Below are 20,520 nucleotides of genomic sequence, written 5' to 3'. Positions count from 1 at the left end.
AAAATAAAGTCGAATTTTAAAATGTTTAATAATACTAGTTTGTGTGCAAGCTTTCTCTTTATTATGATGAATAGCAAAGGAAAGTCATTTTATTATGAAAGTTGTAAGTGTAGGAGCACTAGCTCAATATGCATATAAAGAATCATCGAAGTATCTTTTTACCATTCCCTCTTGAAAAGATAGAGCAGCATTTACCTTGGAAAACAAAGTACAGTCAATTATATTGTGATATTTTCATAAATTCTAACTTTTTTTTTTTTGCCTTTTAGCTAAGTGTGATCTATGTCACATTGCCAAAAACAAACTCTTTCACTCTGAAATTCACAAAACATTGATTTAGATATCTGACTCATTCAGTACTACCCCAAGGCTCACTGACAATTGGAATATGTGCAAATGAGGGTTCATAACACATAATTTGACTTATTTCACCTATTTATCTAGCTTTGGCCAAACAATTCAAAACAAACTTCCTAGTTACTTCCTGGGAAAAAAATTGTGGAGGAGAAAAATGAAGAGGGATGTTCTAACGGCTCTTACAGAAGTAACTGCCAAGATTCCCATTCTAGCATATTTATTAGGGTCATTTATGGGGATATTTGCCTTTATAGTATGAGCCAATGATGCTCTATCACCATTTTATAACATACAATTGCAAAGATGAAAGAAATATGTCTATACATATATGCACCATAGAATTATATGGTATTTTAATGATGTTTAGAGAGCCAGGCTCACTCCTTGGTTGTGAAAATCCAGACTTGATTCTTGATAGTTAACTGCAAACTGCTTTTCTTTCTCTGAAGTGGCTTGGTAAAGATAAAGCTAATAAACAATTGACTATTTTAAGTTAGGGGCATCACTTCTTGTTCTCTATGCACAGCAATTATTTATAGTCAAAAAACAAAGCAAGTGAGAAATATAAAACTGCCAAAGCCAAAATGATTTGCTAACATTTTAAACACAGCAACACCGTACCTATACATACATCATTTTACAACTACTCCAACTATCCCAGTAAATGACTCAGTCGGCTGGGCGTGGAGGCTCACGCCTGTAATCCTAGCACTTTGGGAGGCCGAGGCGATTACCTGAGCTCAGGAGTTCGAGACCAGCCTGGGCAACAAGGTGAAACCCCGTCTCTACCAAAAAAAAAAAATACAAAAAATTAGCTGGGCACGGCAGCATGCGCCTGTAATCCCAGTTACTCCGGAGGCTGAAGTAGGAGAATCGCCTCAGCCTGGGAGGCAGAGGTTGCAGTGAGCCGAGATCACGCCACTGAACTCCAGCCTGGGCAACAGAGTGAGACTCCGTCTCAAAAAAAAAAAACAAAAAAAACCTCAGTAAATGAAGCTGTCTCTGGTGGCATAGTTAGCTCTCTGTCTTTCAATAAGGAAGCATTCAGTTTGGCACTCATAGTAAGCTTGTAATACTTTATTGCTGTTTTGAACTAAATCCTGTCAGACGCACCTGTGGCAACCTCCTCCCATAGTTGAGGGCACTGACGATAGTCAGGAGTTAAAAGTAACTTACTGTATGTAGAAGTTACTATATTGCAGGCACTAGGTTAACCACCCTGTTTATGTTATATCTCATTTAACCTACGCATGATCTCTGATTTAGATACTATTATTACACCCATTTTACAGAGGAGGAAACCAAGGCTTCGAGAGAGATGCATTTATTAAAGTTAATCAGGATTTCTGTTTTTTTTTGTTTCCTTTTATATCATTAATTTAGATTTTATGATGCCATTCAGTTGCAATTAGGGCCACCTATAGTATAATAAAGAGCTACACTGTGACTGATTTTTCAGAGAAATTTAATGGCTTAAAAAATAAAGAAATGGGAGCCATATTTAATATTAAAAATTAAAGGGGGTTTAAAGAGTTCTTTACTTCTGAATGGTTTGTGACTTTGAATTTTTCTTTTCCATTGACACAGACAAGTAACAATACTTGTACAGAAATCAAATTCATATTCTTGCTAATCTGAGATATCCAGTGTAATTATAAGTCTGGCTCACTAAATGCTTAGTTCTACACTTTCCTAAAATTTCTTTTTTATAAATTATTGCAATATCTTTTAAATTCTGATATATTTTAAATTATGGTTCTGGAATTCAGTCTCATATTAATGTTTTAATTTTCAATATAAAAAGTGACAGTTTTCTGTTTCATCAGTTTGAAGTATGAGACTTCCCAATGTACTTCAGCCTTAGCAAAATAGACATACTTGGATTCACTCCCTTGTTTTTAAAGGCAAGAAATGTGGATAGTAAATCAAACATATATTTCTAGAATATCTGGTCTCCCTTTAAGCAGGTACATCCGTATTCTTCAGCAATAGTCCTCAAACAACTTTATGACTTGGGAGATAATTATATAAATATATTTCTACATGTAGTGGTTAATGAAATTTTGCAATCAAAATCACTTGAAAGATTCTTTAAGATAATCAAATTCCTTTAGTAGAGTTTAAGTTATAAAGAATTCTTACTAAGAATACTTGGGATACTTAAAAATATTCCAAGGAGTTTAAAACACACCTGACTACACACAACAATTAACAGGCTGGTAATAGAGCACCTGTCAAGTTACCTTTGGGTTTATAGCAGGGAGTGGGTACGATGCATTCCTCTTTTATGTGGGGCTTTGTTTTTGGGCTACAGCCTCCTGTGTGCATTCCTCGATGGTCGATGCAGAGGACCACACGGTATCTGAGGCCCTGGCCACATGTCACTGTGCACTGGAAAGAGATTGCAAGAGAGAGGAGACTCGTAGGCAAAGCCTTGTTTACTTTTCTTCACTTCCCATCGAAAACTTTTAATCTAAGTTTTCTTTTTCCCCGCCCCCCCCCCCCACACGAGGACTCCTGGTAAATTTATACCACTTCTTACCAGTCAAGGGATCTTTGTTCTATTTGGCTATTTGAGGTGAAGCTCGCTGAAAATTAAATCACTTTCAATTCCATAGCTTTGGATTAATCAGTCAGCAATCTTTAAGTACCCACTGTGTGCAAAGTCTCAAACCAAGCACCAAAAAGAAGAAAGGAGAAAAGAGACTGTAGAGTGTGCTTAATTTTGACTACCAGCACTGTATTTTATTTAGTTACTTTGCTAATGACCGCTACTTCCAAAAATATGGGAAATACCCCTACATGGATATCAAAAAATTTAAACTACGATTATAGCTAAATTATATTGCAGCATTGTTAATCCAATTGATTACATTGAAAGGCAAAAATAACATTTAAAAAAACAGATTGAATGACCAGATGCCCAATGTAGATTGCACCTCTAATGGTTCCCCATGTCTGGTAGCATGTCTAGATGTAGAAAATGTCACAGCTCTGATCTGCTGCCATGAAGCCACAGGGCTCAGTGAAGAGTCTTTTGTCATTTCTGAGGCGGAGGGCACAATGGCTTATTTCATCTTTCTGTTTCCTTTACGATTTTCCTTTCTGCATTAGCAGTCAGGAAACCCTGAATGACATTTTATGTTTAATTACAGCAGGTTTCCTAACATCTATAAGTTTTTTGTTTTAATTATCTTACTTCGTTCCAATTTTAATTTTTGTGCTATTTTCATTTCCTCTTCCCCCTTCTCCAATGATTAATATACATAGTTTTAATATTAATCCACTTAGACCCTTTCGGATACAAAGCATAATACATACAAAATGAAATCAAACTTCTGGTCTACTGAGCTCTATCATCAAAGCAGCTTTTACAGATTCGGGATCATTCATTCAGCCTCAATTACCCTTGAAAGGCAGTTGCTTCCCCGTGCTATTTGAGGGAACATTATCTGGGGAACAATAGAGGCTTCTTGAAGAAACTTGAAGAAAGACACTTTAAAAAAACATCATTTACTTTTGGTCATGCTGGATTTGGGGCATTCCTACTCCAGGAGCTAAGCTGGTAGGCTTCTAGACACCTCAAGAAGAGTGTGGAGCTGCTCAGGGTACCCGGTGGGGCCATGATGATGAGAGGGAAGAGTGGACTTACTCTCCTAATGAACAAAGAAAGAAGGCACAGTTACCGGAGACCACTCCTGTGCCAGCCATTTAGGGCAGTCAAAAATGTTGCAGGGCTGCGCGATGGGCATCTTAGGGGTGTACATGCATTTCCACTCTTCCACTGAAGTGACATGCCCCTGGATGTCCTCCTCCACACAGGAAACTGCCCGGCTCTGGATGCCCCCCCCACACGAGGAGGAGCACGCGGTCCATGGGGTGGCCTCCCACCTACAGAAGCAAGGGGAGTCATCAGGGCAGACATGCACATTGCTAAGCCTCCTCAGTGACTGGTCCACCAACCCACTCCCCATGTCTATTGGTATAATCAGGTTCTGAGAGGCTAAGGTCCAGAAAACCAAAAGCCATCTATTGCCTGAAACCTGATGAGTAAGAGAGAAGGATTCAACATTGGCAAAAGGGCTCTGCAAACCGTGAAGCTCTATACAAATGTAAGCCATTACAGTTTTGAGAGCTGTCCACAAAGATATGTGTGCCGTCTGTAACCTACTCAGAAGATGTAGGATGTAGTTCTGTCCTTCTCCCATAGTTTCAGGATATGTATATATAAAATTTATTTTCATTAAACTCATTAAGTATCCATCTCAAGACTAAAGTGGTATACTCAGTTAACACTAATGGTTTGCACCTGCAGATACTTTTTATTTTCAATGTAATGCTTTATTACTTAACTTCTAGGTATTTTTTTTAATAGAAGAAGCTCATAAAAGATCAAGGTAAACAAAAGACTCTCCTTTGCTTCTGCAATCATCAGCTTTGGGACTACTTAGATTCAGCACAATTCTGATGTTCAAACTGTGCTATCATTATTAAGCTGAGGAGCAGAAGCGTTAATATTATCTACATATTCCCTAACTGTTGAGGGATACTGGTAGTTAGAGTTCCTCCAGTAAGTAACTCTTGGAACTGTGAAGAGGTTTGGTTTGAGTTGGAAGGCTAATGGCATCTGAAAGTAGACATATAGTTAAGTAAGGTAGAAAATAACAATATTGTCAAAACATTTAAGAGACTTCCATTGATTTTTTTTTTCAGAGCTTTACACAGCTCTGAAGCATTAGGTCCCAGATGCAGAGAGATATCTTTGCCAAATTCTCTTCTCTCCTCCTGTAGATTTACAGAATGTAGAATTTCTAAAAACAGAAACATTGGGACTGAGTTGAGCTGGTCTTTTTTACATATATTCTGCTTATTGATGAGGATTGCTAAGGAGATTTAAGATTTCTCTTAGAATTATGAGAGATATAATTTTAATGAGAGAAACAAAATGTCACTGGGTTGATCCATTTGAATAGTTAAAATTTTAAAATGTTGCACAGGCACACCATTGAGACATTAATTATTCTGTAGGCGGGTTTTTTGTGTACATTGTGAGTTTGATTTCTCTTCTGCATGAGCCTGAATCATGTGTTTTTCCTAGTTACAAAGGGTTTTCCTTCACATTTTCTCTGCACTGTTCAAGTTTAGGCAACAACTGTTATCTGCCTGCCAAAAGCCAAGACATGCTGCCAAATACAATATTTTCCTATGTGTATTTCCCCAGGAGACACATAAGAAAATGTCATTGTGGGGAAACTGAGGCCCTCTGTTTGGCCCTTGGGAGACTTTCTGATCTCTTTCAAGAGAATGAAGTAGCTCTGTAGAGAGTTTCTCTTCCCAATGGGTAAGACCAATTCTCCTTTGTCTCCACATAAATCTCTGGAGGGCTTCCTTCTGGAGATGAATATCAGGCCTGATTCAGATTAAAGTTGGGTTGAATACATAAGTATGTATTCACATTAGATTTGATCTGACAGTGAAGTAGGAATATGTTTTTAAATGTACATTTAATCACTTAGAATATTAAGATGCTATAAAAGAGCACATTTTCTAATTGGTACTCTAAAATTCTTAAGCTTGACCCTACTAAAGGGAGAGTGATTTATTTCTGTCTCAGCACTTGGACCTGACCATAGTGTAATTTCACAAATAGCAGTAAGTATCTTTTTCAATGTCAGTGATCATAGAAAGACAAATGAGGCAATATTATTTCAAAAATTTATACTATGGTCCCAGCATACAACTACAGTTCTATGCGTAGAAAATTATCATGTGAATACTTGTATAATAATAGGGTTATGTGGAATCTTGAAGTAAAACATGTTTGTGTACTTTAAAGAAAGCGTAACAAAAGCTGAGAGAGAGCATGTCAGGAGATCTGAAGATGGTAACCAGGTAAGTGCTTGGAATAAAAAAAAGACATATCCAAGAATCTTATCCTGGAGAACATTGAATGAATTTATACATCATACATTTAGCCTCTTTTGGCTTTTAATTTTTTTAAACACAGAGTGTGTTTAAGAAATTCTCAAATTAAGCAGGATGCACAAGAGTGGCATAGATTAATTATAAATCAAGACAATTATTCAGACTACATTCTCATATTATGTCCAGATATGTGTTACAGTCAAGGACTGAAAGCAGGAAAGAACAAGGTAAAAATATGTTAATTGTGTTTTGTATCTATACCTGTGTTCTTAACCCCATTTAAATAATTTAAATGGCCTTGATCAGTGGGTAGCTGCCATTTGAGAACCATTTTTGAGCCTTAATTCTTCTTACGAATGAAAACACAGTTGTAAAAATAGTTTCCATTTACTAAGACTTTGCCAATAAAGCTGAATATCTATCTTTATAACTAGTTCAGTATCAGACATACAAGGGGGTAAGAAATAAAATTTATTGTTCTTTCCCATTGTGATACATAGACATGCCAAGAGTGTATACAAGGACATAGTACAAACACACACCCAGGAGGATCGTTTTAATATACCATTGGGATTTAGGCATTTGGAGAAAAATCCCAACCTATAAGAAATCAATTTTAACCTAATATAGGCATTAGTTATGCCAGAGAAATATAAACAAGAGAGATCACAGATAAAACAGAAATCTAGGAGTTGCCTTTACAGGAAAAACATAAACTTGACGTTGCTTACTCCTGAGGTCCAACTTTACCTTTATCTTGAAATAATGAAATGTATGGCTTTCATACAAACAGATACATATATCCTATGAACATTTATTTCACAGATACAGAAATTGAAACCAAATGAAATCTTAGTTCAGTTAAATTAATCATTTGCTATTTTCATTACTTCAAAAAATTAATTTTTTGCTATTTCATTATTTTTTCAAGGTCAAGAGTTCTGGATAAAACCAGAAAAATGATACATTAGGAACATTCTAAAGCTATTTATTGTCTTTATCAATATAGTCATAGGAAAGTAGGAGTGAGCTGACTAATGACATAGCCACGTAGTGAAAGAGTTAAAAATAACAAGAAAAACAAGAAGTATATCTAGTATAAGTCAAATTCCTTTCCTATATGTGATCATTAGGTGAAAAATGAGTTCCCTGCCAGTCACTAGACATATTTAAGTAGATGCTGGATGACAACTTTCACTTGTATATATGTATTATATAAACATCGATAGATGTGTATATACATGTGTGAATACATATGCATTGAATATATGAATGCATATTTGCGTAAATATATATTTAACATATCTGTGGTATATGGTTGTGATTGTTCGGGAAGAAATGGGAGAATGAAGCATCAATGGGGAGTTGCACTAGATGACGTCAAGGGACCTCTATTTGGATTCTAATTCATTATGTATTTGGAGATTTTTCCATCAAACCCTTACAGTTCAAAATAAAATTATTTTCTGGGCTTGGTGTAATTTGAGATGGAGCAGGCTGCTGTGGATTACTCCAACCATTTATGATCTGATATAAACCCTTGGTTCTAAATAGCAGCTGACTCCCTGAGGGCCAAATAAGCAAAGAAAATAGAGCATAGGTCTACTTCAATCCCAATTCTAATTTCTGCTCTCTGTGGAGCTGTTTCCAATGCAGTGAACACACTCAGTAGCTAGAGTATTTTTCAGCTTCTCCGGTTTTCTTATGAATATATTATAAAGGGAACACTTTCTTTTAAAAGTTCCTGAGTTACTTTCATTACCTTTTTTCTAGTTTTCAAAAGTACTGTACTTTAAAAAAGCAATGCAGCACATTGAATTTTGTTTAGAAAAAATGTCTCCTAAAATGTTTTGAACAATAAGAATATTAAAAAATTGCCTTTTATACTTAATTATAATTTATCTGAAATAAAAAGTGGACATTTAAAGCCCCTATGCAGAATAATATCACATCTGGAATTCCATGTTAGTGGTAGTGCAATAATACTTTAGGCAGTGTTTGTTTGTTTAATAGTTAGCAACAGTGCTTTAATGACTAGGGTCCTATTGAGAGGAAAAATAGGAAAGAACAAAGGGAGGGAAAGAAAGACATAATATAAACCCATAAACTGTATCTAATCAGAGTGAATTACTGTTTTCACTCCAGTGTAACATGATTCTACCTTAAAGTGGTTTTTGAATGATAAGCTTACAGTCTGAGCAGGCTAGTATTATTCAAAAGCAGAACTCAGGATGGATTGCAAAATATACCATCTACCATCTTAAAAACATATAATCTCTCTCTCTATGTATATGTATATCTCTATATATATAGATAAGCAGCAGAAGACTAATTTGCTAATTCTAACATCAGGATGATTGATTTACGTACCGAGGAAGGGGATGGTAGAGGTCATAAGGCATGATCTGCTTGTATCCGTCACTGTTAGGAACAATAATGCCAACCCTCTGAGTAGAAGGTACACACAATAAAATAAACACTAAATGATTACATTATACAAATTTTTAATACAAATGCAAAATAACATTAATAAATTGTATCTATAAAACAACACTAAAACAGTTTTATATCTTTATGCCAGGATATGCTTTAGGATGGGGCAAGTTCTTTGAAAGGGCACCATTTACTATAATTAGTTCTCTGATCCAAGCAGGAAATACCATTGCAAAGGGTGGTGGCAACAAAACTTGGCACTTCATCATTAACTATGACACCATAAGATTGTAAATGTTCTTTAATCCCCAAATTATACATCCTATGAGGTCATTATTATTATCATCATTATTCATGTTACTTCCAGATGCTCGCCAAGCAATTACAGTAACTGTCTCACTTCTGATGAAAGAGAGAGCTATTCAAGCTGGAGAATATGTACTTCAGAATTGACAATACTATGTAACTGCATTAGCTAGGTTTCTTCTCTTGGCAGATCTAGGGATTTCACTAATACTTGGAAAGTAGCCACTTGGGTATTTTATAAGGGGAGGGGGAAACTACTGAACATAGTAGGCAACTATTAGCAAAGGCAAATTTCCTACCAAAATAAAGGTAGGCAGTTAAAATGAGATATTATGAAAAGTGGGTTTTTGTGGTCTATAAAATATTGTACAGTGTTAACTGCTATTGCAGTGATGGTTGTGATTGTCATGGCTTGTTAGTACCTCTAGGACCCTGGGAAACCTGTGAGGTTTAGAGACAGAGTGAATGCTCAGGATCCACAAGATATATCATAGGCTGTGTGGAGGTTCCTGGAGGCCTTTAGGATGCCAATAAACTACTCTGACCTACTTCACTGATTTCAACTAAAGTCTCCAATTGGTAAGACTGGTGGGTCCCTGCAGAGGCCTTGTTTTCTGGTTTGTGGAGGACTAATGATTCATGGGTTTTGGATAAGACCGCTAGTGCAACAGCACCTTCATCAAGAGTGGGAGATGGAGATGCACAGATGTAGAGCATGGTAGTGCATAAGTGGAAGATGCTTATTTTGCAACTGATAAATGATAGAAAGCCCCTCTTTGGGGTATTGAAGGAACTCATGTATTCTATCTGTGCCTCTGGGATAGATGGATGCATCTATTTATATATCTATATAATATTGATATATTCAATATAAATATGTTGATCTTTATATTTTAATAAATAAATACTTCCATTTTTACCCATTCCTCTGATATAAGATGATATAGTAGGTTTATAAAATATGGCTAGCAAACCCAGGTGTTTGGGTAGAAACAGTGAGCCGTGAGTGTGGATCACAGAGATAAAAATAGCACTGGCTGGAGATGATGAAAGGTAAGAAGGAGAGAGAGAGGGATAAAGGGGCCTGCATAGTTTCTGAAGAAATTACTGAAAGGTTAGGGGATACATGAGAGAAGTCAAATTTTGTTATTTAAAAAATAGGAAACAAAGCATTTAAGATGGATATCTATTTCCAGGAGGGAAGGTCATTGGAGTACTAACTTATTTATTTTACATGACTAAATTTTCTGTATTTATTTGTGTAAATAAGTTTTTTATATTCATTTGTGTGAGAAAATTTTCATGATGTGTGTGTTTGTGTGTGTGTGTGTGTGTGTGTGCCTGTGTGTGTATTAACCTTCAGTAACAATGTATAAGAAAAGGGATGCTGCCTTTTGGGCATGCTCAAAATCCCACAGTTCTTCACACAAGAATGAAATGAACAGCCTTTAACCTTTTCTGTTTTTTTGAGTGAACCATCCCATTTTTTTCTACCTTCTGACAGATGATAAGAAATCAGGTGAAAGCTCAATCGTTCCTCATGTTACAATCATTCTAACATCTAGTAAGAATCATTCTTACATCTAGTAATAAAGGGAATTTTTTTTTCTAAAAGGACTATATTTTAAAGAATGCCAATCCTCTTCCACAGTCCTTCTAGTAAGTTTGTACATACACTGTTATCTAATAGTAGTCAATTAAGGAATAAATCAAGTTGACTTTGAAATTATATTTTACATTACTCTAGTATCTTTATTCATGCTACATCAATTTCTAAATGCAGAAATGCATACCATTGCCTTCTCTCCTGAAAAAATTTATGGCTGTAATTTGTCATCTTCAATATTAGAATAAACTGTTGCAGATCTCTGTCAATTGATTTATCAGCTGATGATATTTAAAATGGAGGCAGTAACACTGAAGGAGACAAGCTGAAGTGAAGGAGAATAAAAGGGAGAGTGTACAAAATTCAAGACGTTGAACTTTGCTTTGGACCGATTTAGAAATTATGTTTTTGTTTGAACAAGGAACTTTAAACCTGGATTCAGCAAAACTATAGCTATATTTGTCTTCTATGACATGGGTCATGGTGAAGACTCATAAAGTGACTCTGTAGCACCTGTGAAAACAGAAAGCTATCAAAACAATGGTGCTCTGTCCAGTCCTGCTAATACATATTCGTGTACATAGGCTCAGCTCTCTCTGGGGTTCATGCCATGGCCCTAGCCTTTCACTACACTGTTGCTGGGAGAAAGCAAGCTTGCCTGAAGTTAACTTCCTATTGCTTACTTTTTTTTTTTCTTAAGCAAAGTGTGAATCATAAAGAATAATGAAAAAGAATGTAATTTCGGGACTTTAAGAAGTTCTCCCCATGTTTAGGTCTCGATGTGGGTGTGTGTACATGTATGCACGCATTCAGACATGCATCTGAATATGTGGGGTGTGGTGAAGGAGGCAAAAATGATTTTTAAAAATGGTCACAAAGGGAAAAGATAGAAGAAACAGTTGGCTTGGGGGTAAAACTCATTCTCCAGTGCCTTCATTATGCTGACCACCAGGCACACAGTTCTTACATTGTTTCTCTTACACTGGGCAGTAACATGACTCCATCTAATATCCCCATCATCAGGGGTTGTGGTGGTAAGAAGAGAAGGTGAGCATGAGCAAGTGATCATTCTGGAGTGATGTGCTATCAGTAGAAAAGGCATCCCACCTCATCCTCTCAAAATACATGTCTTACTGAATTGTCCATTGACAATTCAGGAGAATGATTCAGTGTTATGACAAGTTTATATAATGAAACATTATGCAGCACATGGACATAATGGTTTTTGAGTCATTTTTAATGACATGGAAAAATGCTCAAATGTAATGTCAACTAAAAATAATTGAATATGAAATAGAATGTACAATATGATTGACCATAATGAGAAAATATATAGATGGTGTACATATCTATGCATTTTCATAACTTACATATGTGTGTTCATGTGACACATGTATACACACAGATGTATACATGCATATATATGCACACACATATAAAAAACTCTCAACAGTGGTTAGTTATTGGTATTAGGATTATGAGTACTTTTTGCTTTCTTTTTAAATGTTTTTCTGTTTTCTAAGCTTTCTATAATATATCACCTTTTACAATTACAACAATTAGAATATTCAAGTATGAAAAAATTCAAATCTAAGAAAGAAAAGACAGAAACTTTGGAACTATGAAGTGGATGAAATGAGGCCATCACCTCAAATTCCATGCGTTACTTCAAGATCATTGAGTCTGTGCAGAAGTGATCTAAGATGCTACTTTAGAACAGAGTCCCCAGTGTTAAAAAAAAAAAAACAAGCCAAAATTGGGCTCACACTGCTCAGTTGTAGAATATAACTATTGAGATACATCTCTCTCTACAAGAAAAATCCTAAAGTAGTTAACTCCATGGGCACCTAATTTACCGGGGTTCTGTTCTTTTTTTTAATTAAATTTAATTTTTTTGAGATGGAGTCTCACTCTGTCGCCCAGGTTGGAGTGCAGAGGTGCGATCTCGGCTCACTGCAAACTCCTCCTCTCAGGTTCACGCCATTCTCCTGCCTCGGCCTCCTGAGTAGCTGGGACTACAGGCGCCCGCCGCCACGCCCGGATAATTTTTTGTATTTTTAGTAGAGATGGGGTTTCACCTTGTTAGCCAGGATGGTCTCGATCTCCTGCCCTCGTGATCTGCCCACCTTGGCCTCCTCACAGGCATGAGCCACCACACCCGGCCGGTTCTGTTCTTTTTATAATGAAAATGAACCATAAAGAGATCCTTTCATGGTTTCAAGGGTTTCTCTCAGTGAATCTCTCATGACCTCTTGCTTCTTCTCTGGAACTGCAAATCTTCGTTTCTGATTTCCTGATAACTAGATGTGCTCTAGGCTTTTCAAGCTCAGTGCATCCCAGACAATTCATTATTTGGCCTTGCTTCTTCTCCTGTTATCACGACCACCATTCAGTCATGGCAATTCTCCTATCCACTGTACACTGGGGCTACCTTCACCACTCAGTTCTTCCAGTTGTCATCTCGACACCAGCAATGTTTGCCAAGTAGATCTCCTCCTGACACAAGTTTGGGCACTTTCATACCAGTCTCGTAACAAATCAATCCAGCCTACTCTGCTGCCAAAGCACCTGATACTTCACCTCACCATTTAGAAGACTCACATGGTTCCATAATGCCCAGTGAAATTTTTTAGTCAAATGCTACTTCTCCTAAATTCTTGCCTATTTTCTCTCTTAACATCTAGCCAGAAATTCGCTCTCCTTCTTCTTAACACCCCTAATACTAACTCCTCTCCTCACTTTTAACTGTGTACTATTGGCCCTTTATATCCATGGGTCCTGCGTCCACGGATTCAACCATAGCCTGAAAATATTTGAAGAAAAAAAATGGATAGTTGCGTCTGTAATGAATATGTACAGATGTTTTCTCTCACCATTATTCCCTAAACATTATAGTATAACAATTATTTACATAGCATTTACATTTTATAAGGTATTATACATAATCTAGAGATGATTTAAAGTACACAGAGGGTGGATATAAGTCACATTCAAATACTACACCACTTTATATATGGAAGGCATTTGAGCATCTGTGGCTTTTGGTATCTGTGGAGGTGGGGGTGGGGTGGGTCCTGGAACCAATCCCCCATGGATACTGAGGGCCAACTGTACTAACTTCTAACTATTTCACAAGTTTTTCTTTAGTTTATCACCATGAGGCAGAAGCTATATTGGTTCTTTACTGCATCTCTTAGGACAGTGTTCTGCACACAGGTGATTAGTAAATAATCATTGAGTGAACTTATGTCATCAGTGTGCAGATGCAAAGGCAAGTAATGCAACCACATCCAAAATTAAAACAAAAAAGCAAAAACAAGTTTTTAAAAGCTAGTTAGGAAAGGAAGGAAAGAAACTCCCAAACTGCCACTGTTGTGCACATATTCAGTCCCACGTCTTGCCTTTTGCTGGCCCTGCCATCTTTGAGAGAGGGCAGTCTGATATGGAGAGTGGTCTGGCAGTTTAGGAAGGCTGTTCAGGCAAGCGGGGGTGATTGGCTGATGTGAGCAGAGAAAGGACAGATTAGTGACTATGCTTCCATCCTGCTTAGGTTACCTCTGTATCTTTTCATTGGCTATCTCCCAGATATAACTCTGAAAGCTTTTAACAAGATCTTCTCTTCTCTCTTTCTCATGTGTCTTTCAGATACCGTGCTGCTTTGGACAACTCAACCTGCCCTGGACAGTGTGGGGGCCCAGACTCTAGTTGATTCATTTTTGCCTTTGCCATGGCACCAAGCACAGAACCTTTCACAAAATAGGTGACTATATTTTAAAAAATGAACAAAATTGTGTGTAGTAGAAGGGTCTCTTGTATAGAAAATGGTGCTCCATCTTCTCTAGACAACCTCAGGGCAATAGAAACCAGCCTATTTCTAAGCAACAGTTTAGAAGGGTGCAGGAAAGAAGTAATAAAAAGTTGGAAGACATACAAGCACTTTGCTATTTCGTGAGTAGCAAAGCATGGAGGATCTGGCCATAATGAGGAAAAGGATCACCTGAGAGGCTGGGAGTTGGAAGGTCAGTACTCCTCTCTGCTACTTTCTTTCTATGTAACCTTGAATACCTTACATCAAGGTTTGGCCATCCGCAAAAACTAAGTACTGGATGAGATCAGAAGTTTTAAGATGAAGTAAGAGTAGGTGCCTGGAAACCCATGCTATTGGACTCTATCTTACCTGCCCCTTCCTAGTGTATGCTAAGAGTAGAACTCAGAGCTTACTGGGCCACAGCTTGAAAACCACTGAACTAAGATAATTCTCTCAAAATTTACCTCCTGTGACACTTCATGACTTCTTAAAACACAGAGAGTTTCCCTAACATTTACAGAGGCACGTTGGGATCCCATAAATCGGAAAATATTCTATAATTAGGTCCCATTTTTAAAAAACCATAAACTAAGCAGCAACATTCATTTATCTGGGCTTCCACCGAAATCAGATCAAAAGGAGTCTGCTTTATGCAGATCTGAAAACAGTTTTTTGGACACAAATTCATTTTCTGTAATAAACTAAATACTGAAGAGTTTTAATAATTTGGGTCAAATCATTGAATACTTCCTCACATCTACATTTGTGGGGTTAAACATTCTTGGTATTAATGAATGTAATTTCTGAACTGCTTTTAAATAAGTGGGACTAATATTTCCTTGGTCTTTGTTTACTTCTTTCTGTACTGAGTGATTTAGCCATTGTTTGATTTGAGTAAACGTCAGTATTTACACTTACATGAAAGAGGCTTGCCTAACCTGGGTATGTGGTCAATTCAAACACCCAGACTTGGCATTGTTATGGTTAATGGTTCTGTGCTGGCTGTGCTGTTCTACGTTGGGCTGGAACCAGATCTCATAGGTTGCTTAAGGCATTATGCAGAACAAGGATGACTGTGGGATTTGATGGCATGAAGGCTGCACCAGGCATCAGGTTGCCTGCCTTTATGCCTGTCTTTATGTAGAGATACTGTAGAACTGGAAGAACTTAGATCCACATCCCAATTTGCTTTTGCCAAGTGGCCCTAACACTTAACCTCTCTGAGCTTCAGTTTTTTCATCTGTAAAATAAAGGTGACAACCCCCAGCCCGCTAACCTAGGGACTGTAAAACTAAATAAGATAATGGATGTGAAGGCACCTTATAAACTTCAAACAGAAGTGACATTGGGCAAGTTGTTTTACCAGTCTGTTTCTCAATTCAATCATGATAGCTGATGTTTGGTGACTGCTTGGCACCTCACTAAGGACTTTACATATGTTGTCTTATTAATTCTCACAGTTACTCTCTGACAGGAATATTATATTTATTTTACAGAGGGCAAAACTCAGGCCTAGATAAGAAGTTACTTAGCTAGTAAAGTCTTTTGGCTACAAACTGACAGACGGAAGTTAAAAATAAGGATGGAAATAATACCTACTCTATTAACTCACAGGCCAATTAAAAGAATTACACAAATAATTACACTTTAAAAAACTTTAAAGTGTACTATAAGAAGTGATACTACTATTAGGAATGATCTGGCTTTGTAGTAAATTGAATTTCCCAGATAATTGAGTTATAGTTGATTATGTGATTGTCTGATGATGTGTGGTGTATCTATAAGCATGGGAAGGGTATGATCATGCATTCTAAGAAGCACCCTAACTTTGTATCATTTATCTCATTATGAATAATACATGAATGTGGAAATGAGATTTTATGGGTATTTTTTTCTTATTGTTTACTTATTAGCTGCACAAAGCAGTTACTTAAATGAGGTTGATCAAAAGGTAAGAAGTTGTTACTTTTCTAAATCATTTACTTACTGTAGTAAAACTAAAGACCTCCATAATTAAGAAAACATTTCATTATACAGTAATTGCTAAATAAGTCAACCATTTCTTGTCCTTACACTGAGTTTTTTTTTTGGAGACATACCTGGCCTAAGTCCCATGTAAATTAAATGGCAATGTCTCACAGCTGGTAAAGTAGAGGTTATCAGACACTTGTGAACTGAGACTTCAGGAGTTGCCAATTATCTTAATTTCTTGTGATCATTATATTTAAAAAAATCTGATAAATGTGATTTACTCTCAAGATCATATTTTCCTAGGACTTACAGTTCCTGTTGTTAAAACAACAAACAGAGAACCATCTTTCTAGACCCATACAGAATTCTAGAATTCCATCTTTTCCTTTCATGGATGAGAAAGCTGATTTCTGGAGAGCTTAAGAGTTTCTCTCAGCTAACATCAACATCATCATAACCGTGATCTTAGTCATTATATAGCTGCTGCAGCTAACATTTATTGAGCGCTTATCATGAGTCAGGTACTCTGCTAAGCTCTTTAAATGTATTATGCCATGTATTCCTCATGACAACTTTATGAGGTAAGTATTGTTATTATCCTCACTTCGTAGGATGAAAAATCTGAGGCTTAGTGGGAATAAGGAATTTGCCAAAGGCCATTCAACTAGTAAGTGGCAGAGCCAGGGTCTCAAGCCAGGACGTTTTATGCCAAAGCTCCCACTCCTAAACATCAGGCTATATTGCCATTGACTAGTTGGTCACCAAGTTGGTGTGAGAATCAGTATTTTTACATGCCTACTACACATAACACTTGTTCTAATACAGGGTATTTCTTCATAGTTGCATTAGAATTTGAGACTTTTTTTTTGGTTCCTGGCCAGAGACAATTTATGCAATTTACTGTGAAACTAAATGGAGCTGGACAAAAAAAAAAAAAAAGTTCACTTAAACTTGCCAAGAATTGCCGCTTGGGGGTATACAAGTTTGGGCATTTGCTTAGGACTGTTGCTCTGAATTCCTTGAGGGAAGGGGGAATCTGGATGCAGTTTCAGCTAGAAACAGATTTGTTTGCTAATAATTGTGGCCGTGATAGTGTGATGAGTGAGATCTTTTTTCACTTGTCCACCTCTTGCCAATTTAAGCCCCCTTCATTACTGCCTTGGAGAGAAAACTAAAGGTCTGTGCCAAAAAAAAAAAAAAAAAGAAAATCTGCAAAGGTGGTTCTCTGATTGTCTCACAAAGTGTAACTTGCACAATTTCCTCCAGACAGCCTTAACTGTCTCACCATCTCACAGATTAAGATATGTAAGGCTAAATGTTGTATATTTTACATCTAAAGCTGCTTTGAAACATCAAGGTGTTTATTAGCTGGATTCATGCTATGCCTTTTTAGTTGTTGCTGAACCACAGGCTTATACTTTGAGGCTTTCTGGCCACATGATGGACCTGACCTTTCACCCAAGAGGTAAAAATGCCACACATCATTGCACAAATTCCAAAAATATTTCCATTGGCGTAAGACAGAAGCTTTGCTTATACCATGGTAGGCACAAGAGAGGATTTTACATTTTACTAGATCCTAAATGTCTTAGTCACATGGGAAAGCATACAGAACATAGTGTTAAATGTATGAAGCAGAAAACAAACGTGGTAGATCCCTGACATGCAGGAGGGTGTGTCTCTGGACTTCTGGGAATGCCCATTGGGACTACCAGTAGAACATGTAATACACTGTGTACAGAGCATATGATGGGCTTAGTGATGTCATAGCTCTGAGTCTCTAATGAAAAGCCTTATTAATTTTATCTAAAAGTCATTAAATCTTTATACTTTACTTTCTCTTCACTTCCCTTATAAGGATTAAATTTTGGCTCCTAGTTTACCACTTTTGGCCAGGAAACAAAGTGTTTTATCACTTCAGAAAAATAACTGTGTAAATGACACCAGCAGAGAGCAACAAAGCCTTCTTGGGATGAAACTGCTGGGCAGCCAGCATGGCTCAATTGTTGGTCTTATAGTCCAGTGAACTTAAATTCCTACCTCAGCACAATGTCGAGTTACTATGTGTCATGGATATTCAGGCTTGCTTTTAGAAGAATGAGAACCAAGAATGCCAAATTATTCAATGCCAAGTATCTACTGTATAAAGTATGATCTCAATTATGTTATGAGCTATAGACAAGACTGGAAAGAAATATAGCAAAAGCATTAACAGAGGTTATCTGCGGGCATTGGGGATTATTAGTGAGTTCATTGTTTTCATTACAGTCTTTTAACTTATCAATATTTCTAAGTTAGCATTTAGAATCAGCAAAAAAGCCATGAAAACATAAAAAGTATTTTGAAGAGTATAGGCGAGATGTCAACAATCTCTTCAGCCTCAAGAACTAGTAGATGAACTAATCCACCACCATGGAATCCAGTGGATGTTGTCAGTGAGTGTAAGGAGGAGGAACAAAAAATGAGATGGGAAAGTAAAGAAAGAAGATGGTGGGAACAAAAGGAAAAGAGAATGAGAACCAAAAAATAGACAGATGTGTAGAGTGAGATATTCCTGAGACCCCTCCATGCCACTGGTTGCCTGTTCTCTGTTGATTTGAGACAATTCCTAGAAGTTGTTCATGTATTTAGGAAGCTGTTGTAAACTTCCTAAAACTAAAATAATGACTGATATTTATAGTCACTGAGTTTGAAGTTGGAAGGGACTGTGGACACAATCACATGCAGTGACTGGAAACATCCTGGTCATTGGGAGGCTTTATATTGTGTAAAAGACCAAAATATATAGACCAAATACTGATGATATTTATGATTTTAGTTGATTAGTTCAAATGTATAATGTTTACCTATTATAAAGCAAAATAATGAGAATAGGGAAGCTATTTTGGTAAACACAAAAAGTGGATATCAGGGATTATGGCTACTGGTAGCCATATCTAGTTTATTTCTTCTTTGTTTTGGTTTTAGATATGTAGTAATGAGAAAATTCTTATTATCACAGAGAGTGTTTTGTAATGAAAACTGTTTTTACAGCTTACCTTGCAATCTTAGGATAGTTATTTTTTCAACTAGACATAACTGAGGAACTTAATGATGAGGGCAAAAGCATTTACTTCGGTAGTACAACACTTAAAATTGTGATAATTTTTATAATTTAACTTAGTGTGAATCAGTTAAAATTAGTTGCTTAACATGTTTGAATATATTTTTGTGAATTATTATTTAAAAATACTTTAAAATATATAAAACAAAATTTAATTTAAAAAACTGTGGAACAACAGGCTCTGTGGGCACAGTTTGAAAACCATTAATTTAACAACAAATGACCCTCTCTTCCCATTCGGTGGGTGAGAAAATGGAAGCCCAGAAGGGTAAAGTAATAAATATAAGGTTATAGACTTAATTGTTTAATGCGGTTTTTGCTGTCAATGACACATGCAAGCCTTGATAGGGAATAAAGTTGGCTGTCTAACTGGGACTTTTCTTTTTAAATTTATTTTTTACTTTTTCCTTCTCTTTTCTTACTACAAGGGACTCTACTTTTAAATACTAAAATAGGTAAAAATCCTAGTGTGATTCAGGAAAAATGAATAAATATCTCAGTGGCTAGATATAATAAATTTCTTTTGAAATTAAAAACATGTGACTTTATACCAAGAACGTTGGTTTTCCCTTTTGGGAATTTCTAAATTTGGACACAAAAGTGTTGGTTGAATGTCATTGTTCACTCTCGATTTTACTATTAGACCATTAAATCTGAGTGAGAAAACAGCTTCCTGGGGGTTTGATTCTGCACTGTCTGATGGAAGAGCAGATCTATTTTCTGGAGTCTATTCTATCTAATTTTCTTAGGTCATCACTTCTCATTTTCTCTTAGAATTCAGAAGGGTTGCTTTGATTCCAGGTATGCAAAAGAGTTCAATGAATTTCATGGCAATTTCTGAAGTATCTTAACCTCAGAGTAGCGTACTTACATTTTCGGAAGCAGCTGTCCCTTAGACCTTTCCTACTGCTAAGTCTTAATTTTCTCAGCTTTGTCTAATTACTTCTTCAATAAAAAAAAGCAGCTTCCTGACATTTGCCTATTTTTTCTTTTCCCTTTTCTCACTTATCT

At 36.5% G+C, this 20,520-nt stretch overlaps 1 protein-coding gene and 1 long non-coding RNA gene across 18 annotated transcripts in view; one reads left to right on the top strand and one right to left on the bottom strand.

Moving 5' to 3' along the window:
* The window catches only part of ADAMTSL1 (ADAMTS like 1), a 1,004,318-nt gene that overhangs the window by 226,391 nt on the left and 757,407 nt on the right, over positions 1-20,520 (bottom strand). For 11 of the 17 annotated variants that reach the window (XM_011518064.4, XM_011518063.3, XM_017015314.2 and 8 more), the window contains 3 exons: positions 8,653-8,703; positions 4,044-4,248; positions 2,601-2,748 (listed from right to left, as the gene is read on the bottom strand). In XM_011518064.4, coding sequence (XP_011516366.1) covers positions 2,601-2,748; positions 4,044-4,248; positions 8,653-8,703 — 404 coding nt within the window. Of the gene's footprint in view, positions 1-2,600; positions 2,749-4,043; positions 4,249-8,652; positions 8,730-20,520 lie in introns of all 17 variants that reach the window. The other 6 variants (XM_017015312.3, XM_017015311.2, XM_047424077.1 and 3 more) reach the window with 2 other exon arrangements.
* LOC102724102 (uncharacterized) overlaps positions 1-20,520 on the top strand; it is a 37,432-nt gene that overhangs the window by 9,827 nt on the left and 7,085 nt on the right. Inside the window, exon 2 of the long non-coding RNA XR_428448.4 lies at positions 14,273-14,387. This is a non-coding gene — a long non-coding RNA (uncharacterized LOC102724102). The remainder of the gene's footprint in view (positions 1-14,272; positions 14,388-20,520) is intronic.

This window comes from Homo sapiens, chromosome 9, assembly GCF_000001405.40.
Source record: "Homo sapiens chromosome 9, GRCh38.p14 Primary Assembly".
Taxonomy (NCBI): Eukaryota; Metazoa; Chordata; class Mammalia; order Primates; family Hominidae; genus Homo; species Homo sapiens.
The sequence above is the reverse complement of the archived record's forward strand: the minus strand, read 5'-3'. Positions and strand labels throughout refer to the sequence as shown.